A 25,078-nucleotide genomic window follows, 5' to 3' on the forward strand; every position below is an offset into this window, starting at 1 on the left:
GTATTTTTAGTAGAGATGGGGTTTCACCGTGTTAGCCAGGATGGTCTCAATCTCCTGACCTTGTGATCCGCCCGCCTCAGCCTCCCAAAGTGCTGGGATTACAGGTGTGAACCACTGCGCCTGGCCTAATAATTTTTATATTGATAGAGAATTTGGGCTCTGAAGGCCTTCAGATATCTACTTGGTATATATGATAGCTGCTTTGCCAGGATCCTTAAGTAGCTGAACATTGTGTAATTAGCAATGCTTTATAAGGATTGAGCCCTTTATTTTAATCTTTGAAGTTTTAGCTAAAGGCAGAACCTACACCAGAGGCCCCTAGAACATTGTCCTTAAGTTCCATTCATTGTAACATTTATTTTTTGAGAAAGGTCTTGCTCTGTCACCCAGTGCAGTGATGCCATCCTGGCTCACTGCAACCTCTGTTTCCCAGGCTTAAGTGATCCTCCCACCCCAGCCTCCCAGTTAGCTGGGACTACAGGCATGCACCACCACACTTGGCTAATTTTTATTTTTTATTTTTTTATAGCAATGAGGTCTTACTGTGTAGCCCAGGCTGCTCTGGAACTCCTGGACTCAAGTGATCTTCCTACCTTGGTCTTCCAAAGTGTTGGGATTACAGGTTTGAGCCCCACCCTGCCCATTGTAACATTTTAAATAAGAATATGTAATAATTTTTTTTTTGAGATGGAGTCTAGCTCTGTCGCTCAGGCTGGAGTGCAGTGGTGCAACCTTGGCTCACTGAAAGCTCTGCCTCCCGGGTTCATGCCAGTCTCCTGCCTCAGCCTCCTGAGTACCTGGGACTACAGGCGCCAGCCACCATGCTCGGCTAATTTTTTTTTTTTTTTTTTTGTATTTTTAGTAGAGATGGGGTTTCACTGTGTTAGCCAGGATGGTCTCGATCTCCTGACCTCGTGATCTGCCCGCCTTGGCCTTCCAAAGTGCTGCCATTACAGGCATGAGCCACCACGCCTAGCCCAAGAACGTCTTAATAAATTCTTGTAGTTACCTAGGAAGGTTTTGAGTTGTACTCTGAGTATTTTTTCTTTCCAGAACTATAAAACCTAAAACCATTGACCCTAAATTTTTGTTGTGAAACATTTCTAACATAGAAAAGTTGAAACAGGCAGTTAATATCTGTCCTCAACATCTACATTCAGGAATTGCAGATATTTTGCTGTCTTTTCCTCTTTTTTGTTTTTAAATTTCTTTTCTGCTAAACCATCCTTTCTTACCCTATTTTTGTTTTATTTGTTTATTTTTAGAGATGGGGTCTCATTCTGTCACCTAGGCTGGAGTGCAGTGTGACTTGATCATAGCTCTCTGCAGCATCAAATTCTTGGGCTCATGGGATCCTCCCACCTCAGCCTCCTGAACTGGAACTACAGATGTATACCACCACATCTGGCATTTCTCTACTTTTAATAATAATGTCTTAGTTACAAACTTAACTGGTAAACCCTTGTGATGCTGCTGCTAGTTCTAAACTTAGTTACTCCTTTCCCCTGCTGTTTTTTCCCTAAACTTTTTAAATGAAATTTTCTTTTTCTTTCTTTATTTTTTAAGATGGAGTTTCGCTCTTGTTGCCCAGGCTGGAGTGTAGTAGCATGATCTCGGCTCACTGCAACCTCCGCCTCCTGAGTTCAAGTGATTCTCCTGCCTCAGCCTCCCGAGTATCTGGGATTACAGGCATGTGCCACCACGCCTAGCTAATTTTGTATTTTTAATAGAGATGGGGTTTTTCCATGTTGGTCAGGCTAGTCTCGAACTCCCAACTTCAGGTGATCTGCCCACCTCAGCCTCCCAAAGTGCTGGGATTACAGGCGTGAGCCATCGCGCCCAGCCTTGAATGAAATTTTCTACACATAGAAGAGTTGAAACTATAGCAGAATGACCTAACCTGTCTACCTGATATCAAGATTTTAATTTGCTTACATTTTGCTCTACTGTTTTTTATTATTGAACCATTTGAAAGTTGCATTAAATTGCAGACATCATGACACTTGTTAAAGTAAGGTTGTTATTCTTTGTAACTACATGCCATATTTAAGAAAGCTAATTAGCCCTTCATATCTAATATCTATGCTCTGTATTTAGATTTTAGCTATATGTTTTTTTCGTATAAATGTCTGTGATAATTTATGTAATCCCCACTAAGTTAGAAAGGAGAAACAAATTCTTATTCTCTATGCTCATACTCAGCACAACACTTCTGTGATCAAATGTGTGTGGGTTTTCCCTACATTATCTGTGTCTCATTTTCTCTGATGACTCCAGTTGGTTGTCCTACAGTTTAACTTCTCAGAGTATCCACCTGGAAATAGCATCACATCCCACAAGACTGCCCCCATTTCTCATGCCAGTTGCAAGTCCAGGTTATTTATTTTATTTATTTACTTATTTATTTTTTGTGAGATGGAGTTCTCACTCTGCCACCCAGGCTGGAATGCAGTGGTGTGATCTCGGCCCACTGCAACCTCTGCCTCTCGGGTTCAAGCAATTTTCCTTTCTCAGCCTCCCCTGTAGCTGGGACTACAGGCACGTGCCACCATGCCCAGCTAATTTTTGTATTTTTAGTAGAGATGAGGTTTCACCATGTTGGCCAGGCTAGGCTTGAACTCCTGACCTCAAGTGATCCGCTGGCTTTGGCCTGCAAAGTGCTGGGATTACAGGCATGAGCCACCACACCCCAGCCAAGTCCAGGTTATGTTATGTGCTTCTGACACACTAGCTATAAATTGGAGACTCCTGTGATTCCTCTTTCAAAGAGGTTTTGTAATTTGCTAGAATCACTCACAGAACTCAGGGAAATAGTGTATTTGCTAGATTACCATTTTATAGTAAAGAATACAACTCAGGAACAGCCAGATGGAAGAGAGATGCATAAGGCAAAGAAGGAGTGTGGAACTCCCCTGCCTACTCTGGGCTCATCACCCTCACAGTACTTCCATGTGTTCACGAACCTTAAGTTTCTCTGCAGCTGTCCTTTTGGGTTTTTCTGTGATCTTCAGTAAGCTGGCATGATTGATTATGTCGTTGCCCACTGGTGATCAGCTTAGCTTTTAGCCCTCTCCTCTACCCGCCTCCCTTCCCAGGGTAGGGCTGAAAGTTCCAACCCTCTAACCACTGGTGGGGTTCCCCTGGAAATCAAACCACTTCCTGAGGCTATCCAGAAGCCATCAGACATCATTCATCTCATTAGCATAAAAAAGACACTGGTATTCCTAGAGTTTTAGGAATTTGGGTACCAGGAAATGGAAGAACAAAGTATATATTTCTTCACGTTTAACCTTGTGTGACAACAATTTTTTTTCTTTTTTGTTTAGGTCTTGTTGCATACCAAGGTAACAGTTTTAAGACAACTTGTTGACAGCCCAAGCTTCAGTTTACACTTGACATGTTTCACTATTAGTACTCCTGTATACTTTTTCATTAGTGGTCCTGGTGTTAAGATATGGGAACTTAGTATTTTTGCTTAAACAGTTTTAGGAGTCAATTTTCTTTTTATAAATAGCACTGTTCAGTGGTAGCAGCAGGCAACAAATACTTTGATATGACTCTGTTTCCTGAGAATTACTGCTTTTATATCTGAAATGTTGAAATATTCATGTTTTAGCCTTTTTGGAGACAATACATTGTCATTGATTTCTTGATACCCTATTCCTTTATTGAAGCAATCTATGTGTTTATTTTTAAATAGGAAGTTTATCTCGACAATGCTAGTTGCAGTCTGTGTGACCCTGACCAAGTTATTTTAATGTCTGTGCTGCAGTTTTTCAGTTTCCAAGATGGAATAGTTATAGTGCATATCTTCCTCATGGTTGTGAGGAGTGCATGACACATAGCGAGTGCTCAGTGAACAGTCATTTTTCTGGTAAGTAGTTGGAGAATTTTTTGATCTCCTTTGAGATTGCAATAGAATGAGAATTTTGAGTTTCAGAATTTAAGTTCATGACACATTTTTAAGATTAGTAAAATTGCAAGCCTGGATACTGTTAGATAAGAGTTCTAAATTTCTCTTCAAAGAATCAATATGTCAGTATGTTCAATTCTTTGCCTTCTACTTTTAAAATTAACTTCCTCTTAAAGCAGCCTTTCCTACCCTCATTCCTATTACGTGCTCCACCCTGGCTCATTCTGATTACCTGCTCCACCCTGACTCATTCTCCACCCTGACTCATTCTGATTTCCTGTTCTGTCATAACCATTTTTCCTGACAAACCACTCACCCCGTCACTCTCTTTAAATTAGCCAATTGGAAATAGTTTAGCCTGTGCGGTCTAACCCTAGCCAGTAGGGGAATGACACAGCAGCAGGGGACCCATGCGTCAGGAATAAGAACCCCTTGCTCTCCCTTGTGCAGGTAGTGTGCTCACCACTGCTCCATCTGTGAGGGCGCACCCTTCTATAGAAGTAAATTGCCTTGCTGAGAAGAAAAAAAAGAAAATTTTGTATTTGAGTGCTATTTATTTTGTGGCACTGAAACTTTATAACAATACTTAACTATATTTAATAAAGATGGACTTAGCAAAGGAAAATCCAGCATCTTTTTTTCTCTTAATTTCTTATGAAAAATTTGAACTGAAATAAAAGTTCAAAGAATAACATTAGTGAACACTAATATTCTCTTCACCTACGTTAAAAAATACTTTGCCATGTTCATGTTGAATGGAAATTGTAGGTGGTGCCATTGTTTTGAGCTAATCTTCTGCACTGGGCCATGATAGACCAGACTAAAATCTAAATGGAGCCACTCATGCTGAGGTTCCAGACTACCAAACTGAGGTGTTATCGGACCTTTCCAGAAATCAGGAGAGAGGAATAGCCTTAATTTCTCAAACCAGGCAGTTCCAGTTGGCATGATAATGCAGTTCCCAATCAGTGATTTCTCTATTGTCCTGTTTTTTCATTCCTTCCTTACAAGGAAAGTAACTTTGAAATGACCAATCCGCTTTTTGTTCTGCCATCCTGAAATAATCAAAAGGATCACAGTCAAGTTTAAAAGAGTTTTATTCAGGCCAGGCGCGGTGGCTCATGCCTGTAATCCCAGCACTTTGGGAGGCCGAGGCGGGTGGATCACCTGAGGTTGGGAGTTCGAGACCAGCCTGACCAACATGGAGAAACCTCGTCTCTACTAAAATTACAAAATTATCTGGATGTGGTGGCGCATGCCTGTAATCCCAGCTCCTCGGAAGGCTTAGGCAGGAGAATAACTTGAACCTGGGAGGCGGAGGTTGCAGTGAGCCGAGATTGCGCCATTGCACTTCCAGCCTGAGCAACAGGGTGAGACTCCGTCTCAACAAAACGAAACAGAAACAAAACAAAAGAGTTTTACTCAAGTGCAAAACTGAGAGTAGCCAACTGGGTAGCACAGAATCCAGAGGAATGGAGCCAGCCAGTCCTCTGAAGCTGAAAAGTTTAAGGTCTTGCTTATGTAGGCAGAAAACAAATTTAACAGGATTGCCACATTTTCCATACAAGGTTGGTTTATGAGTTATAGCAATTTGATTAGTTACAGTTCTTTTCCTTTTCCAATTTAAAAGAGTTTATTTAACATTCCATCTTAGTGTGGTAGTCTTGAGGTCTTTGTGTAAAAGAAGGAAGTTAATCTACAATGAAGATTAAGTTTAGAGGGATGGGGGTCTTCTCTGGAGCCCTTTAGTCTTTTCCAACATTTTACAAAACAGTGTAGGTAAAGAGGCTAATTCATTATCAGAGGACTAAAGCTGCCTGTCATGTGACTCAGATCCCATTATCACATTTCTTTAAGGCTGAAAATAATTTAAAAACTTCCAGCAGATTTGATTTTGAATTATTTTCACAGTTCTTTGTTTCTGCTTTCTTCAGGCCTGTTCTGTCTGTACACGTAGCCTCTGCTCTGCTCATTGGATGCTCATTCTATTTTATGGAACAAAGTGTTGCTGGATTCTAGAATCGTAAATAAAGCTGTTTAAGATCCTTAAACCACATTATTGTAATTTTGTCTTTTGATATTTATGTTAACCCTCATGTATGTATTGTTTTCTTTCCCTGAATTATTTGAAGTTAACTTACAGAAATTGTGAGTCTACCTCTTTAAGCATTTCAACATGTTTCCAAAGAATATATTCTCAGGCATAACCACAATGTCTTTGTTGTGCTTTTAAAATTTAATGATAATCTTACAATATCTAATGTTTAGTCTGCATTTAAATTTTCCCAGTTGTCTTAAATGTGTGTGTGTGTGTGTCTGTGTGTTTTTTCTTTTGATACAGGGTCTCAGTTGCCCAAGCCGAAGTGCAGTGGCTCGATCATGGCTCACTGCAGCCTTAACCTCCTGGTCTCATGTGATCCTCCTACCTCAGCCTCCTGAGTAGCTGGTAGCTGGTACTACAGATGTGCACCACCACCCACAGCTATCCTTACTGTGTTGATTGATCACTTGAACTCCTGGGCTCAAGTGATCTACTCCTCAGCCTTCCAAAGGATTAGGATTACAGGCATGAGCCATTGTGCCTGGCCTTAAGTGTCTTTTGTAGCTTTCGCCAGCCCCCTCCCCCCGCCCCAACAAACCGTGTGTTTAGGGTTTATTCATTGTGTCTTATTGTTGAGTCTTTAGTCTCTTTTAGTCTAGAGCAGTATGTCTACCATTTTTCTTTTTTGACACTGACTTTTTGAAGAGTATGGCCCACTTTTCATGTACAAAGTCCACCTTTCTAATTTGTCTGTTTCCTCATGGTGTTGTCTAAGTTGCTTCTGCATCACCTGTATTTCTGTAAACTAGAAATTCGATCTAAAAGCTTGACTAGATTTTTTTTTTAATATATTTTATATTGCCACATTTCACCTGGAGGTAAAACATTTTTGACGAGTATTTTATAAGTGATATAGTCTGCTTTGCGTCATATCACATTAAGAAGTGAATAAAGCAAGGTTGATTCCCTTTTAATGATGCCAAATTGTTTTATCTTTCAATTCCGTTGTAGTGAAGGGTCAAGATTGCTCCATTGTAAAGCAGTAACATTTTCCCCTTTATAATTAACGAGTAACCTGTGGAGTTACTTGTTTTGATACCGTACAATTATTGTTCTCCAGCAACCTTTCTCTTGATAGTTTTAGCAACTATTGATGGGTCTCTCTGAATGCAGGACCTTCTTCTTAATGACCTTATAATAAAGCTCCATTTGACAATATTTTCCGTAACACTTGAAGGTTCTGCTAACCTAGAAATAATGCTAACTCTGAATCTAAAATTTTTTTGTTTCCTTCAGTTTTTTCCTTCAGTTTTCATTTACAAAGTTAATCACTTAGTAGAATAACTTAAGGTGAAGATGGTATATCTTTAAAAAAACCTGAGCAAATTAAATTTAGCCTTTTCCAGTCAAAGAAGAGTGGGATTTGTTTTAGAAAAGCTCTAGTTCATCTGAATTTTGAAAGCCTTACATGGCAGCTGTTAAAACCAGGGTTTTCATTAGTTAGCACTCATTAGTGTTTTCCTTTTGATCTGTCTCTGCATTTCTTTCTGGTCTTAACAGGAGTTAGGATAAGATCAGGTGGTTGAACTATTTATTACTTGCAACTCAAAAAAGAGAAAGGACTCTAAAATTTTATTTTATTTTTTAGATTACATCTCAACATGAGGGAAGGACTCTTTTTTCTTTTTTTTTTTTGAAATGAAGTCTTGCTCTTGTCGCCCAGGCTGGAGTGCAGTGGCACTATCTCAGCTTACTGCAACCTCTGCCTCCCGGGTTCAGGCGATTCTCCTGCCTCAGCCTCTGGAGTAGCTGGGATTACAGCTGCCCACCACCATGCCTGGCTAATTTTTGTATTTTTAGAGGAGACCGAGTTTCACTATGTTGGCCAGGCTGGTCTTGAACTCCTGACCTCAGGTGATCGTCCACCTCGGCCTCCCAAAATGCTGGGATTACAGGCGTGAGCCACCACACCCAGCTGAGGGAAGGACTCTTATCTGGAGTTTTGCGTTCTAATATTATTCAAATAGCCACCATGTATCCTTCCCCCACTGCGACTCTTCCTTCTACTCCTGTCTTAAATTTTTAGTTTATTAACAAGTTCAACTTGAAATTTTAATGAAGTGGAAAACAGCAGAAAATACTGCTAAGATAAGCTTAAATCTGATAGGAGGGTACATACTTCAGAATATCAGTAAGTTAAAATTTTCATTTCATTGAATGAATTTGTTAGGATAAATTGATTTTATGTAGTTTTAAAATTTCTTTAATCTGGCTGGGTGCAGTGGCTCAGGCAGAATTTTTTTTCTTGATCTTTGAAGTCATTCTGTAAATAGCACAGAAAGGGAGTGGAGTCATGGGATGTTTTTTAAAATTGGGAAATACTACATTATGGTTTGTGGGTTTTTTGTTTGTTTGTTTGTTTGTTTTGTGACAGTCTTGCTCTGTCACCCAGGCTGTAGTGCAGTGGTGCGATCTCGGCTCACTCTAACCTCTGCCTCCCGAGTTCAAGCAGTTCTCCTGCCTCAGCCTCCTAAGTAGCTGGGATTACAGGTATGCACCACCACACCTGGCTAATTTTTGTATTTTTAGTAGAGACCGGGTCTCGAACTCCTGGCCTCAGGTGATCTGCCCACCTCGGTCCCCCAAAGTGCTGGGATTACAGGTGTGAACCACTGTGCCCAGCCTACATCATGTATTTTTTTTTTTTTTTTAATAAAAAGCTCTTGATCTTCTTTATTTATTGTACTTTTTTGAGATGGGGTCTCACTCTGTCATCCAGGCTGGAGTGCAGTGGTGTGATCTTGGCTCACTACAACCTCTGCCTCCTGGGTTCAAGTGATTCTCCTGCCTCAGCATCTCGAGTAGCTGGGACCAAGGGCATACGCCACCATGTTCGGCTAATTTTTTGTTGTGTTTTTTGTAGAGATGGTTTTGCCATGTTGGCCAGGCTGGTCTCGAACTTTTGAGCTCAAGTGATCTGCCTACTTTGGCCTCCCAAGGTGTTGGGTTTACAGGTGTGAACCACTGCGCCTGGCCTTTACATCGTGTGTTGTATGTTGATGGGACTATGCTAGTGGTAAATGTATACAGAGAAAAAGTATGGGATTGATTAGGCAAGTGACAGGGTTGAATGTGGCTCAGAGATATTGCATCTTTTATTATGGAGACAAAGGGTACTGATCAGTTAGTCAATTTGGTGGTAAAGTGATGAGTAGTTGAGTAGTTCTCTTTGCTTCTGTTTTCCTAGCCAATAGCAAGCCTGTCTGCTGAGGCTGTGGGTAGTATTGTTGAATGCACACTTGAGATACGAGATTACAAATTTGAAGTGAAATTTTTGTATGTTTTTCATCCATGTTTAACCACTTTATGTTGTAAGCACTCTAGGAAGGGATTTGGGTTAGGGTTTTGCCATACAACAGTGACAAGAAGAGAAGGGAAGAAAATTGAGAAAAGCAATGGAATAATAATCATCGTGATGTGATTGACCATCCATGAAAATCTAAGCAGAATAATAAGGGAAGTTAGTCCCTGAGGGAGATAATGCGATATTGGAAAAACAATAAAGCTGTACATTGATACTGGTTGCATCAAATAATTGTTGGAATGGGAGTGTCAGTGTAAGAAAACTAGAATGATCAGAGATGGTTTTGAGTATGAGATACTTGAAATAAAGGTTTTGGGATTATTGCAGTTATTGTTGATAAAAAGGTCTGTGTTGAGACTGTGAGAATAGATGAAGTGTAGGGTAAGTGGTTTGAAGGTAGGGTGTGTAAGAGCCAGGCGGGAGGTTGAATGGATCATATGTGTGGATGTTGAGGATGTCAAGAATGTTGATGGGATCATGGAGGAAAAGAAGTAAAGCCAATACCATAATCTTCAACAAATGAGTGCTGATGACGGAAGATTCACAGGTAGAAAAGTAACAAAAAGGGATAGCTGTTATGACTAGTGTTATGGCATGTGCTTCTAGGGTGAGGATTGGGGTAGGAGAGATTGTGTCAGGGTGTGTGGTGACAAATGCAAACCATCTTTTTGGGGGAGCTATTGGTGGTAGGGTCATGTGGTCAAAGTAGACTGCACTTTGCTGAAGAACGACTTTACCTTCTGGAGAGGTTTGGGCAGGCTGGGGGAAGAGAGTAATAGGGGCCCATTAGATAGGTCTGAGTGGGAAGAGAGTTTAATGAGGGAAAAGAGGGATATGAGATTTGATGTGGCAGCTGGATAGGCTCTCAGGGAAAGGTGAGTAAGCAACCAGTTGTCCTGATAGCCTTCATCTTAGGCCTAGTCTCTCTACATCATTGAGTGGTGAAACAGACCTGCTGTATCTCTAGGAACTAAATTTGGTTTAAAAGATGACACTGCTTCTGGCAGGGTGCAGTGGCTCACGTCTGTAATCCCAGCACTTTGGGAGGCCGAGGCAGGTGGATCACAAGGTCAGGAGATTGAGACCATCCTGACCAACATGGTGAAACCCCATCTTTACTAAAAATACAAAAATTAGCTGGGCATGGTGGCGCACACCTGTAGTTCCAGCTACTCCGGAGGCTGAGGCAGAATTGCTTGAACCCGGGAGGCAGAGGTTACAGTGAGCCAAGGTTGCGCCACTGCATTCCAGTCTGGCGACACAGCGAGACTCTGTCTCAAAAAAAAAAAAAAAAGATACACTACTTCCATAAAATGACTTTGGCATTTGCATGGGTGAGGAACTGTCTTTGAGGCTCCGCTGAAATTTCTCGACCTTTTTCTTTAGTTTCTGGAAGCTTGTGAGCAGAAAGGGAAACTCAGAGACGTGTTTGGCTATAATTCTTTCTCTTGCCCAAGACCCTGGCCTGCTGATCTTCAGCCTTGCTGTTACTCTGTCTTGAACATGATTTCCTGTGCTGCCCCCGTGCTGTCCTTCCACTCTGCCTCCCCAGTAACCTCACACCCCTGTCTCCCACCCCCATACTCTGTTTCTTTGTGTCCCATTAGACAGATGGGCCATGCTGTCTAAATCTTCTGTGAAATCCCAGCATCCACCCTTTTCTGATTTCTAGCAGCAGGATGCTTTAGGATAATAATGGGGATGTCAGACAGCAGCTGTATTGTGTTCCAGTTGATCTTGGAAGAGCTTCACTTTTGGGTCTTGCACATGTCCCAGGCTTCTTTTTTTAAAGAGTCTATCACCTCTTTTTCTCCTTTCTACTTTGTCATGTCCTAAGAACCCAGGTCTTAGGAAATAAAGTTAATTGCTTTGGGACAAAATGCACTTTAGCTAATACTTTTGCTTAAAATTTTATGTTTAATGGCTCACTAGGCATAATTTTGCTCTCTTGATGCTCTAGTAATGAACTGTTTCACTATTTTACAGAGTGCTTGTGATTTCACGTATTTTTGCTGAACTCGTAAAAGAGACACTTGGATGGTGGATTAACCAGAACACTAACATTCTGTGAAAAGTTTCAAATTGGAGAATATTGAATTTTCACCCTAGTCCAGCAGCTCCGCTGCTCACTTAAATACAGATGAATGAAGACCCCATTCGGAAAGACACCTGGCCAGCGGTCCAGAGCTGATGCAGGTAGGCATTGCGGTTCTACACATATTTAAATATATACTTTAATATAATTCATTTCAAACAAGTGTAAAATTGGGTACTTTCACATAATAGCTAGTGAAAAACTTTGTCATTTCTAGTATGTTATACACATATGCATATATTAAGAAGCAGATTTAAGTTTCTTGAAAGGGAAGTAGTCACATGAAATTTCTGTATAATCCTTTAGCAGGTTATAAATGTCTAGTAAATTTAGCAAGTGAATTGTAAATATCTGTTAATAGGATTATAGTAAAAGGAGTTTTTTCCGGAAGAGTTAAAGTGAGGTGACATGAGTTGGATTTAGTGAGATTTAGTGTACTGAGAGCAACTTTTAGGAAGAAAGATAAACTTGGAATTTCTTGTGTTTACTTGAAAGAAGTTTACTGGTGTGGAAATTTTAATAAAAATTACATTCATTCTTATTTTTGTGGCACATAGCTAGTATAACTTGAATAGAAGTTAGTCTTTGCCTGATTTTTAGCGTGCCTGCCCCAATAAAGATAAACAAAATCTTATAGAATACCCTATAAAATAGGTAAGTCATACTTTCTTTGGGACTTGAAAAGCATTCTTCTCCATTTCAGACATATATCTGAATGTTGAAAAAGAACATTTTAGGGTTCTTTGACAAATGAATCAGAATTATTCTATAAAAATTATTAATAGTACAAACTTAAGTGATTTAGAACAATTTCTTCTATTTATTTACTGTAGTATTTGGAGTTCTGTTGTAGAAAAACCACAAGAATTAAGATTTCTAAGTACCCTTTATCTTTATTTTAGCTTCTCTTTTATAAAGATAATACTCATTTAAATATTTAATATTTGTCAGTCAGATTAATTTGGGTTGGTGATGACTGAAGTTTAAGGTATATGAGAGCTTACTCAGAATCCTAGCCGTTATTAGCTGTATAAAGATGGGCACATTTCTTAGTCCTCTTGAGCCTTAGTTTTTCTCATCTAAAAAAACGGGACTTTTTTTTTCTTTTTCTCTCTTTTTTTTCTTTTTTTTTTGAGACGGAGTCTCGCTCTGTCACCCAGGCGATCTTGGCTCCAGGTGATCTGCAGCCTCTGCCTCCTGGGTTCAAGCGGTTCTCCTGCCTTGGTCTCCCCAGTAGCTGGGATTACAGGCATGAGCCACCCTGCCCGGCCAGTTTTTTTGTATTTTTAGTAGAGATGGGGTTTTGCCATGTTGGCCAGGCCGGTCTTGAACTCCTGACCTCAAGTGATCCTCCCGCGTCAGCCTCCCAAAGTGCTGGGATTACAGGTGTGAGCCACTGCGCCTGGCCAAAAAATGGGACTATTAATGTACCTATTGGGGTTAAGGACTAAATGAGATGTGAGTCAAATGTTTAGGTAGTTGCCTGGCACTTTTAATAGTGTTATTATTGATCATAATGTTTAGAATAAGATATTTTTATTTCTTCTCATTAATTGAAAAAATTGCTGCCAGGTGTTTATTGACTGGTGAAACCTCCCAGGTCTCTGTCATTTGAAATAGTAATTCCTTTTCTAAAGTTCATATATGTACAGCATACAGCATTCCAAATTCAACATGCATTCTTCTTTTAAATTTCTATTTTTATTTTAGATTCAGAGGTACGTGTTCAGGTTTGTTACAAGGGTATATTGTATGGTGCTGAGGTTTGGGTTTCTATTGATGCTGTCACCCAGATAGTGAACATACTAGTTCCAGCAGGAAGTTTTTCAGCCCTTGCTGCGTCCCTCCTTCCCTTTAGAGTCCCCGGTGTTGATAGTTTCCATATTTATGTCCACATGAACCCAAGATTTAGCTCCAACTTATGAGTGAGAATATGCAATATTTGGTTTTCTCTTTCTGCATTAGTTCACTTAGGATAATGGCCTCTAGCTGCATCCTTGTTGCTGCAAAGGACTTGATTTCATTCTTTTTCATGGCTGTGAACATTGCTATTTTCTTTATCGATTTTGAAATCATCTTGTGAGGAACCTAGCAGGCTGAGTAAAGTGATGTGTAATATGGTATAAGTAACTGAAGGAACTAAACCAAAAGATTTTATTTTTTTTAAAGGGTGAGATTGTTAATCCTAACAAGTACTTTGATCTTACATTTTCTTATTCTTTGATTTTTTTATGGCATATGGCATAGGCTTAAAGACAAAATAGGTTCTATGTAAATCCTAGTTGGCGTGTGAGATATTTTAGCATAAGAGTCCGTGAGGTTATTTTTTAATGTTGTGTAAGAAGATACAAGAAAAACAAACCAAAGTGTTTTTTCTTGCCTATTCTCTCTTTCTTTTTTAAAGAGACAGAGTTCCTCTCTCTCACATAGGCTGGAGTGTGGTAGTATGATTATAGTTCACTGCAGCCTTGAACTCCTGAGCTTAGGTGGTTTCTGCATCAGCCTCCCGACTAGCTGGGACCACAGGTGTGTGCCATCAAGCCTGGCTAATTTTTTTGTAGAGACAGGGTTTCGCAGTGTTGCCCAGGCTGGTCTTCAACTCCTGAGCTGAAGCGGTCCTCCTGCCTCAGCCTCCCATAGTGTTGGGATTACACTTAATGAGCCAGTGTGCCTGGCCTCCACCTATTCTCTTATGTAATTCAATACAACACAGCACCTCTGGTCACCCAAATGTGGGAAGGGGAGGAGTTGCTTCCCACCAGCAATCAAGCAGTTCTGCAGCAGACATCATTTCACTTCAGTCCAATTCTGATACTGTCCACCTAGAGACAGCATCAAATCTCATAGGTTGAGGGCTCAGTCCCATAAGACCGCTGCTTGCTTCTGATGCCAGTTCAGATGCATATCTGGGCCTCTGGAACTTCTGGTCTGAACAGCCATAAATTGGAGTTTCCACAGCCCTGTCCCTGGGCTCAATTAGTTTGCTAGAGCAACTCACAAAACTCAGTGAAACACTTAACTTTTACCAGTTTATTATAAAGGGTATTACAAAGGATACAGATGAACAGCCAGATGGAAGAAGGAGAGATGCATAGGGCAAGGCATGCAGGAAGGGGCATTGGTGCATCTACCCCCCTCCAGGAACCTTCAGATAGTGTTGCGCTATCTGGAAGCTCTTCTAAACTCTGTCTTTTGTGGTTTTTATGGAAGCTTCATTGTGTAGGCATGATTGATTACATCAGTGGCCATTGATGATCAGCTCAACCTTCAGCCCCTGTCCCGTAACAGTGGGTGGTTGAAAGTCCTGATCCTTTAGTCATGCCTTGGTCCTACTAGAGACCAGTCCCCATCCTGAAGCTGTCTCTGGTTATCCCATTAGCATACAGAAGACACTTACCACTCCAGAGTTTCCAAGGGTATTGGAAGCTGTAAGTCAAGAGGAGGAGGAAGGCCAAATATATATATTTCACAGTATTACAGAAGTATAGCCTATTTTGGAAAGATTGCTGACCCCAGGATCAGTATTGTTTATAAAATAGAGTCTTAATCATTCTTCCTGTTAGCATAGACAAATGCTCTGCTGCTTCTAAGTCCCTGTATCAGTAACCAATGTGTCTATTTGCAAATGAAAGAAAAATCACCAAAAAAGGGTTTTGTCTCAGGCAGCAAGAAGCCCAGGTAGGCATTTCAGAGTTGGTTAGGTAGTTCAGCTATGCCCTCAGGCAGGTGTCATCTCAAAGGCTTCTTCACTCACATGGGCTGATAGGACTTAAATAGCCTGGAGCTTTAGCCACCCGGCCTCCTGGGCATCTCTTTTCTTATGGGGACCTTTACATGGAGGCTTCCAGATAGTATCCCTAAGAGAAACTGTCACAGCTGTGTGGCCTTTATCTAGCCTTGGAACTTATACAGGTTCACTTCTACTGCATTCTATTCATTGAGGCAGTCACAGAGGCTCACCAAGTTTCCAGGGAGGGAGCATAGACACTATACTTGATGGGAGAAGTAGCAAAGAATTTGTGGCTATGTTTTAAAACTGCTACAGTGGTAAATAGATTGGGTAGGCAACTTCCAACATCTGCCATGACCCCCAGTACCTGTCTTTAACATAGAGGGTGAATGATTGAGGAAATATTTGAAAGTAATAATTTTATATTTTCTTTATCTCATTCACATATCAGGAATTTCTGTTTTGAAAATAACTTACGTTTATCTGTGATTATGTTGAAATTTAACTGGTTGCTAAGTAGCAGTTTATGCCTAATGACATTGGGTAACAAGTACTATTAGGGTATATGGTAAAATTTTTTTTCACGTTTTCCCCTGGTGTTAGCCTCCATTTTTAGTATTTTAGCAAAGGTTGCAGTATTTTCCTTTTATGATATATTTTTTCTTTTTTTTTTTTTTTTGAGATGGAGTTTTGCTCTTGTTGCCCAGGCTGGAGTGCAATGGCACGATCTTGGCTTACTGCAACCTCTGCCTCCCAGGTTCAAGTGATTCTGCTGCCTCAGCCTCCCAAGTGGCTGGGATTACAGGCATGCACCACCACACTCGGCTAACTTTTTTGCATTTTTAGTAGAGACGGGGTTTTTCCATGTTGGTCAGGCTGATCTTGAACTCCTGACCTCAGGTGATCTGCCCGCCTCGGCCTCCCAGAGTGCTGGGATTATAGGCGTGAGCCACCATGCCCGGCCCTTTTTATGATATATTTTAATCATATTGATGGTACAAGGAATGTTAGTCATAGATGCTCATGTACCTACTACTCAAATTTAACAAATATTTCTCTCTCTCTCTCTCTTTTTTTTTTTTTGAGATGGAGTCTCAAGAGCTCTGTCGGCCTGGGCTGGAATGCAGTGGCATGATCTCGGCTCATTGCAACCTCCGCCTCCTGGGTTCAAGTGATTCTCCTGCCTTAGTCTCCCTAGTAGCTGGGATTACAGGCATCCGCCACCACGCCCGGCCAATTTTGTATTTTTAGTAGAGACGGGGTTTCTCCATGTTGGTCAGGCTGGTCTTGAACTCCCGACCTCAGGTGATCCACCCGCCTCGGCCTCCCAGAGTGCTGGGATTACAGAAGTAGGCCACTGTGCCCAGCTTTGAATGGCATTTTTATTTCTCATTCTTTGTGTGTGTCCAGTGGGTTTTATTCCCCATTCTTTGGAAACTTTTAGAATTGGCTTTTTATGTCTTCTGAAACTTTTATGATAATGCCTGTTAGTGTATATCTTTTTCATTTATTGTTCTAGGCTTTCAATCTTCAGATTAATCCTTTAGGTCAGGTACAGTGGCTCATAAACTATAATCCCAGCGCTTTGGGAAGCTGAGGTAGGAGGATCATTTGAGGCCAGGAGTGTGAGACTGCCTGGGCAACATGGTGAGACCCCTTCTCTACAAAAAATTAGCTGGGTGTGATGGTGTGTACCTGTAGTTTTAGCTACTCAGGAACCTGAGGTGGGAGGATCACTTTGAGCTCAGGTGTTGCTGCTGTGAGCTGTGATTGTGTCACTGCATTCCTGCCTGGGTGACAGACTGTCCAGAAAAAAAAATAGATTTATTCTGTAACAGTGTGGAATATTATGTTTCTTCTTTAACTGTCTCCTGTTTTTCTTCTTCTCTCTGAAATGCATGCTACTTGGATGTTTGGCCTCTTAGATTGATCTCCATCACCCTCCCCTGTGCCCGTCCCGCCCCCCCCACCCCCAGTTTTTTTTTTTTGAGACAGAGTCTTGCTCTGTTGCCCAGGCTAAGTGCAATGGCATGATCTCAGCTCACTGCAACCTCCACCTCCCGGGCTCAAGCAATTGTCCTGTCTCAGCCTCCCAAGTAGTGGAATTACAGGCATGCGCTACTGCCCTGGCTAATTTTTGTATTTTTAGTAGAGACAGGGTTTCACCATGTTGCCCAGGCTGGTCTCGAACTCCTGACCTCAGGTGATCCATCCACTTCTGCCTCCCAAAGTGCTGGGATTACAGGTGTGAGCCACCCTGGCTCCTTTTTTTTTTTTTCTTTGAGACAGAGTCTTGCTCTGTCACCCAGGCTGGAGTGCAGTGGCGCGATCTCGGCTCACTGTAACCTCTGCTTCCCCTGTTAAGCTGTTCTCCTGCCTCAGCCTCTGGAGTAACTGGGATTACAGGCGCATGCCACCATGCCCAGCTAATTTTTTCTTTTTTCTTTCAGTAGAGATGGGGTTTCACCATGTTGGCCAGGCTGGTCTCGAACTCCTGATCTTGTGATCTGCCTGCCTTGACCTTCCAAAGTGTTGGGATTGCAGGCATGAGCCACTGCGCCTGGCCCATTTTCCCATTCTCTGGGGGAGCTTATTTACTTTATATTTTCCCACGTTTTCTGTTTTGTTTTTTGTTTTTTTTAATTTCAGTCAGCAACTTAATTTCTAAGTGCCTTCCCTCTTCCTCCCCCATTTTCTTTTACACAGGCTGGTTTCAAACTATTGGGCTCAAGAGATCCTCCCACCTCAGCCTTTCAGGTAGCTGGGAATACAGGCACATGTACCACTGCATCCAGCTTTTTTATTCTCATACTTGTTTATTTCATAGATACAAGTAGCTTATGTTTCTGGGGATATAAATTACTTTTTGTTTGTTTTGAGATAGGGTCTCGCCGTGTCACCCAGTCTGGAGCACAGTAGCATGATCTTGGCTCACTGCAGCCTCAAACTCCCAGGCTCAAGAGATCCTCCCACCTCAGCCTCCTGAGTAGCTGGGACTACAGGCGTGAGTGCCACCACGCCCTGCTAATTTTTGTATTTTTTTGTAGAGATGGGGTTTCGCCATGTTGCCCAGGCTGGTCTTGAACTCATGAGCTCAAGTGATCCACTGGCCTTGGTCTCCCTAAGTGCTGGGACTACAGTCATGCACCAGTGTACCTGCTTATAAATTGCTTTTTAAATAGCCTTTCTAGTGTTAGCCTTGTTGCTGACGAGTTTCTTTGTGTCTCTGCTATTAGTCTCTGTTTCATTTGGAGGCTTTCCTTGAGTCTCTTGATCCTAGCATGATCCTCTAGGAAGACATCAAGATGATGGCAAGCTGTCTGTGAGGAAATGGCTCTTGTTGCCTGGACTTCTCCTGCCTTATTGGGGAGTCTGTGAAATGTTTTCTTTGGAGATGGATTGTCAGGTGTCCTCCATAGATGATGATCACTCATCTCTCATATTTTCTTATTTCTCTTTTAAGTTTACATAGTCATATTTCCTTACCTGCTGCATCCCCAGACAAGACTGTCTGTCATACCAAGCTGAGCTTATAAAATCTGCAGAGCAACAAGGAGAGTATCACCTTGGTGGACTCTCAGTGAAATTTTCAAAGAAAGAAAGATACGGTAAGTCCTCACTTAATGTCATCCATAAGTTCTTGGAAACTGTGACTTCAAGGAAAACAAAACCAGTTTTTTGTTTTTTTTTTTCTCATCAACGTTATAAGGAAACAACTTTGAACATTGAACTGACAGCGTTTGAGGACCTCCTTTACGCTGTGTAAAGTCTCAGTTTCCAAGAACCTATCGATAGTTAAGTGAGAACTCAAGGGGAGGAGTGAGTCATAGGGTTGGAAGTCAGGAAGTATGATGTAGATGAGGATTGGTTTAGAATTTCTAATCCAAATGAGCTGCTGGATCAGACATTGGTCTTTATCATTGGAGCATCTGAGTCTACACAAAGTTCACTTAAAATAGTTGGTCTTACTTTGGAACATGTGCCTGAGTAAGCCTCTGTGAGACAGTTTTGGTTGTATTTTGTTTCTCTTGCATATTATGGTTTAGTATAGTTTAACTGTTTTAGAGTCAAATAGAATAGTTTATTTTATAATTTATAAAATTATTTTACAAATTATAAAATAGTTTATTTTATAAATTATAAAATAGTTTATTTTATAAATTATAAAATAGTTTATTTTATAAATTCATTTTATAAATTAGTTTATTTTATAAATTACGGTTTTCTTCAACAAATAGATATAATAAAGCTATATATTAAAGAAACTTCTGTTTTCCACTGGAAAGTCAGTGATGGGTGATATAACTCCCCATTTGGTGACAAACTGATAACAGTATCCAGTTAATGTGTACCCATTAACTTTTCTTTTTCTGCTTAACAATGTGGGTTAAGCAGTATGTAGAGCTCTAGCAGTATGTAGAGCTCTTCCTCATTGTTTTTTTACAGATGAATAGTACTCCATTGTGTGGCTGTACCATATTCATTTGGTATCCATTATTACTGGACGTGTGAGTTGTTTCTACTCTTCTGCTCTTACAGATAATAGCTACAATGAGCTGCGCGCGGTTGCTCATGCCTGTAATCCCAACACTCTGGGAGGCCGAAGCGGGTGGGTCACTTGAGGAGTTTGAGACCAGCCTGGCCAACATAGCGAAACCTCACATCTACTGAAAATGCAAAAATTAGCTGGGCATGGTGGTGGGTGCCTGTAATCCCCACTACTTGGGAGGCTGAGGCGGGAGAATTATCTGAACCCGGGAGGCGGAGGTTGCAGTGAGCCAAGATCGCACCACTGCACCCCAGCCTGGCTGAAAGTGTGAGACTCCAGCTCAAAAAAAAAAAAAAAGCTTATCTTTGTCAGTATGTCTTGCTGTTGTGTCATTGGATAAATTTCTGGAAATAGAATTGAGTCAGATCTTCAATTCATGTATGATTTTGTGAGATCTCACCAGATTGCCCTCCATCGACTCTGTATTATTTTGCATTCTTTTTTTTTTTCTTTTTTCTTTTTTGGAGATGGGATCTCACTCCGTCACCCAGGCTGGAGAGCAGTGGCACGATCATGGTTCACTGCAGCCTCGACCTCCTGGACTCAAGCGAATCTCCTACCTCAGCCTCTAAGTCGCTGGGACTACAGGCATGCACCACCACACCCGGCTAATTTTTGAATTTTTTAGGGTTTTACCATGTTGACCAGGCTGTTCTTGAACTCCTGAGCCTTGTGGGCCATGGTGCCAGCCCCATTTTGCATTCTTACCAGCAATAAAATATGTAAAGAGTTTCTCTCTTCTCACAGTCTTGCCAGTGACATATGTTGTCAAATATGTGGTTTTGTCTGTCTTGTGGGTGAGAAATGGTGTTTCTGTGCAGTTTTATTTGTGATCTTGGCTTGTAAGGGCCTACTTGGCCTTCCTTTTTCTGATATTACATCTATTTTTCTTTATTACTTGCATAAGGTTTTTTTACATCAGAGTTATTAACCTTTAATCTGTGATAGGGGTCATTTACCTTCTTACACTTCTGTTGTGTGGAGTCAGTTTCTTGGAAACAGCCTTTCTTGAGTCCCTGGTCTCTCACTCCCACCTGTATGGGTCTGTCAGCCTATATCACATAAGTCTTGCTTTGGAACCTTCTGCTCTTCTAGGTTATATCTATGGTTTCTCAGATCCTATGTGTTTATGTTGCTTTTCTTATTTCCTGAAGGGTATCCTTCAGTAACTTCCAAAGAAGATGTGTATGAAATATAAATTTTAGCCCATATATGTGTGGAAATGTATATACTGTCAGTTAATAATTTACCCAGGTACGAAGTTCAGAGTTCAAAATCATTTTGCTTCAATATTGACAATATTACTCTCTTGTCTTACTGTTTTCTAGCCCAGTTTTGTTTGTTTTAAAGAGGTGGGGTCTAACTGTGTTGCCCAGGCTGGACTTCAGTTCCTTGGTTCAAGTGATCCTCCTGCCTCAGCCACCCGAGTAGCTGGGACTACAGGTGTGCTCCACAGCGCCTGACTTTCTAGCTCAGTGTTGATGACAGAAGAATAATTTTAGACTAACAGTTTTTAAACTTTACAATCTTTCTACAGTTTTAGAGTTGCAAAGAGATAACGGGCTCTATTTTTTTAGAGCAGTTTTAGGTACTCAGGAAAATGGAGTGGAAAATAACAGAGTTCCCATATATTCCTTTCCCTCACAAATGTGCAGCACACCCTGCCCCATTCCTGTCCCAGCATCTCACAGTGTGGTACATTTGCTGGAAGTTGATGAACCTTCTTTGACATGTCATTATCACCCAAAGTCCATAGTTTACATTAAGGTTCATTCTTGATGTTTCACTACCCTGAAAATCCCTTGTTTTCCCATTGTTCTTCTCTCTCTCACCCTTAACCCCTGGCAAGTGCTGATTTTTTATTGTCTCCCTAGTTTTGTCTTTTCCAGAATAACGTCATAAAGTCGGAATCATACAGCGTGGAGTCTTTTCAGATTGGATTCGTTCACTTAGTAATTAATATGCACATAAATTTCCTCTGTGTCTTTTTTTTTTTTTTTTTTTTTTTTTTTTGAGACGGAGTCTCGCTCTGTCGCCCAGGCTGGAGTGCAGTGGCGGGATCTCGGCTCACTGCAAGCTCCGCCTCCCGGGTTCACGCCATTCTCCTGCCTCAGCCTCCCAAGTAGCTGGGACTACAGGCGCCCGCCACTACGCCCGGCTATTTTTTTTGTATTTTTAGTAGAGACGGGGTTTCACCGTTTTAGCCGGGATGGTCTCGATCTCCTGACCTCGTGATCCGCCCGCCTCGGCCTCCCAAAGTGCTGGGATTACAGGCGTGAGCCACCGCGCCCGGCCTCCTCTGTGTCTTTTTATGGCTTGATAGTTCATTTCTTTTTATCACCAAATAATCTACTGTTTGGATGCACAAGTTTATTTATCCATTCACCTATTGAAGAAACATCTTGGTTGCTTCCAAATTTTGGCAGTTTTGAATAAAGCTGCTATAGGCCGGGGGTGGTGGCTCACACCTGTAATCCCAGTATTTTGGGAGGTCAAGGTAGGCCGATCTCTTGAGCCTGAGAATTCTAGATCAGCCTGGGCAACATGGCAAAACCCTATCTCTACAAAAAATACAAAAAGTAGTGGAGCGTGGTGGCTCACACCTGTGGTCCTAGCCACTCGGGAGGTTGAGGCGGGAGGATGGCTTGAGCCAAGGAGGGAGAAGCTTCAGTGAGCACTGACCATGCTACCACACTCCAGCCTGGGCAACAGAGTAAGACCCTGTCTCAAGAAAAAAAAAAAAGAAGGAAAGAAACAACAAAATGAATGAAGCTGCTATATATATCTGTGTGCAGATTTTTGTGCAGGGATATTTTCAACTCTTGGATAAATATTGAGCACAACTCCTGGTTTATGGTTAAACGTATGTTTACTTTGCAAGAAATTGCCAAACTGTCTTCCAAAGCGGCTCTACCGTTTTGCATTTCCACAAGCAACTAGCTTTTGGTTTCATTGATTTTTCTCTATTGATTTTGATTTTCAATTGTAGTGATTTCTGCTCTAATTTTTAAAAGTTTATTTTCCTCTCCTCATCTTGGATTTAATATTCTCTTCTTTTTCTAGTTTCCTAAGACAGAAGCTTAGATTATTGACTTTAGATCTTTCTTTATCTGGGCGTGGTGGCTCAAGCCTGCAATCCCAGCACTTTGGGAGGCTGAGGGGGGCAGAGGCCAGGAGTTCAAGACCAGCCTGGCCAACATGGTGAAACTTTGTCTCTACTAAAAATAGAAAGATTAGCTGGCGTGGTGATGCGCGCCTGTAATCCCAGCTACTTGGGAGGCTGAGGAAGGAGAATCACTTGAATCTGGGAGGCAGAATTTGCAGTGCATCGAGATCATGCTGCTGCACTCCAGCCTGGGCCACAGAGCAAGACCCTGTCTCAAAAAAAAAAAAAAGATTTTTAATTGCTATAAATTAATTCATTAATTGCTGTAAATTTCTCTGTAAGCACTGCTTTTGCTCAGTGTTGGTAAGTTATGTTTTCATTTTCACTTAGTTCAAAATATATTTAAATTTCTCTTGCAGTTTCTTCTTTGACCCATGTGCTTAGAAGTATGTTGTTCAATCTCCATGTATTTTGAGATTTTTCAGCCATCTCTCTGTTACTGATTTCTAGTTTAATTACGTTGTTGTATGACAGCATACACTGTATGATTTGTATTCTTTTAAATTTGTGAAACTGTTTTACAGTTCATAATGTCGTCTGTTTTGGTGTATTTTCCGTGTGAACTTGAGAAAAGTTTGTATTCTGCTCCTGTTGGGCAAAGTAGTCTTTAGATTTGACTATAGATCAAATATATAGATTAGATTTGATCTATAGTCAACTAGATTTGATGGTGCTTGTTGAGTTCATCTATATCCTTACTGATTTTATGCCTTCTGGATCTGTCCATTATTGATAGAAGGATGTTGAAATCCATAACCATAATATAGGTTGAGCATCCCTAATCCAAAAACCTAATATCCAAAATACTTCAACATCTGAAACTTTTTGAGTAACTCACGTGATTCCACAATTGGGTGATGAAGATGACATTAATACTAAAGAAAAAGTGCCTGTTGATGACATGGGGAAAATGTGTGATGGGCTTATTGGAGGACTAGAGCAGGGTGCATTTGTAACACAACAAGAAACCATGTCAATTTATATGATCGAAGAGAGACTTTTAAGACAAAAACTTGTTCATGAGGCGGTTGACTAGAGGAAACACTTTAAAAAACCATCCAGTAGAATGCTTGCTCATTCCTAAGGACCCACTTCCTGGCCCCTCAACTGCTTCTGATATTTTTTTCTCACCTAAAAAAATAAAACACACAAAACACAGAATTGTAGGTGGAGAGTAAAGGCAAGCTGTTGTTTGTTGTTGCTGTTAATAGCTGATATAGATATTCTGGCGCTGCTACTGTGCTGCTTAGATATCCTGAACACATTATTTTTTCAGTGTATTAATGGTATGCTATATTTTTTACTGTTAAGAACTTATGTGTGAATTCGTGTAAGAGAATGGTTGCTGTTGGTAGCATATAAATTCAGTGTCAGGAATGATGATGATAACAAACACAGATTGTCCACATGGGTTGAGCTAGTGACACCTTTGCTTTCTGATACTTCAATGAGTATAAACTTTGTTTCATGCACAAAATTATTTAAAATATTACATAAAATTACTTTCAGGGGGTATATAGAAGGTTTATATGAAACATAAATAAATTTTGTGTTTAAACTTGGGTCCCATTCCCAAGATACCTCATTTTATACGCAGATATTCTGAAATGTGAAAGACTTCTGGTCCCAAGCATTTTGAATAACAGATACTCGACCTTCAGTGGAGTTAATCTGTCTCTTCCTATAGTTCCATCAGCTTTTTTTCCTCACATATTTTGATGCTCCATTTTTAGGCACATACACATTAAGGATTGTTTTGTTTTCTTGGAGAGTTGACACCTTTATTTTATGTAATGCCCCCCTTTATCTTTGATAACTTTTCTTCCTCCAAACTCTGCTTTTTCTAAAATTCATATAGCTTCCCACTTTCTTTTGATTATTGGTAGCAAGCTGTATCTTTTCTTCATCCATTTACTTTAAATCTGTGTATCTTTATAGTTAAAGTGGATTTCTTGTATCTAGCATGAAGTTGCATGTTGTTTTTGATCCACTCTGAGTCTGTCTTAATTGGTATATTTAGATCAGTGACACAGAAAATGATTATGTAGGTGGAGTAATACCGTGTCATATTTATGTTACTATTATCTGTTCTTTGCCCTTGTTCTTTTTTCCAGTTTTTGCTTTCCACTCTTTTCTGCCTTCTCTGGTTTTAATTGAGCATTTTATATGATTCCACCTTTTTCCCTTCCTTAGCATATCAAGGATATTTTTTGTTTTTAA

General features: G+C 40.7%; 1 protein-coding gene across 1 annotated transcript in view, besides 5 other annotated features; it reads left to right on the forward strand.

Moving 5' to 3' along the window:
- SPIN1 (spindlin 1) overlaps positions 1 to 25,078 on the forward strand; it is a 90,251-nt gene that overhangs the window by 26,634 nt on the left and 38,539 nt on the right. The window contains exon 2 of the mRNA NM_006717.3: positions 11,305 to 11,514. Within this exon, the coding sequence (NP_006708.2) occupies positions 11,463 to 11,514 (52 nt within the window). The 5' untranslated portion in view covers positions 11,305 to 11,462. The remainder of the gene's footprint in view (positions 1 to 11,304; positions 11,515 to 25,078) is intronic.
- Positions 2,917 to 3,211: a silencer, noted in NCBI's record as "tiled region #424; HepG2 Repressive non-DNase unmatched - State 16:ElonW, and K562 Repressive non-DNase unmatched - State 24:Quies". NCBI's record gives its function as "represses a minimal TATA promoter and a strong SV40 promoter by Sharpr-MPRA in HepG2 and K562 cells {active_cell/tissue: HepG2 | K562}" and the evidence as "EXISTENCE:reporter gene assay evidence [ECO:0000049][PMID:27701403]".
- Positions 2,917 to 4,529: a biological region, named in NCBI's record as "P300/CBP strongly-dependent group 1 enhancer GRCh37_chr9:91033322-91034521".
- Positions 2,921 to 3,637: an enhancer, noted in NCBI's record as "OCT4-NANOG-H3K27ac hESC enhancer chr9:91032913-91033629 (GRCh37/hg19 assembly coordinates)". NCBI's record gives its function as "activates a minimal SCP1, AML or CMV promoter by ChIP-STARR-seq in naive H9 embryonic stem cells {active_cell/tissue: H9 hESC(naive)}" and the evidence as "EXISTENCE:reporter gene assay evidence [ECO:0000049][PMID:30033119]".
- Positions 3,330 to 4,529: an enhancer, noted in NCBI's record as "P300/CBP strongly-dependent group 1 enhancer chr9:91033322-91034521 (GRCh37/hg19 assembly coordinates)". NCBI's record gives its function as "activates an origin of replication core promoter dependent on BRD2, BRD4, P300/CBP, MED14 and CDK7 cofactors, with strong dependence on P300/CBP, by STARR-seq in HCT116 cells {active_cell/tissue: HCT116}" and the evidence as "EXISTENCE:reporter gene assay evidence [ECO:0000049][PMID:35650434]".
- Positions 14,922 to 15,423: an enhancer, noted in NCBI's record as "NANOG hESC enhancer chr9:91044914-91045415 (GRCh37/hg19 assembly coordinates)". NCBI's record gives its function as "activates a minimal SCP1, AML or CMV promoter by ChIP-STARR-seq in naive H9 embryonic stem cells {active_cell/tissue: H9 hESC(naive)}" and the evidence as "EXISTENCE:reporter gene assay evidence [ECO:0000049][PMID:30033119]".

Source organism: Homo sapiens, chromosome 9, assembly GCF_000001405.40.
Source record: "Homo sapiens chromosome 9, GRCh38.p14 Primary Assembly".
Taxonomy (NCBI): Eukaryota; Metazoa; Chordata; class Mammalia; order Primates; family Hominidae; genus Homo; species Homo sapiens.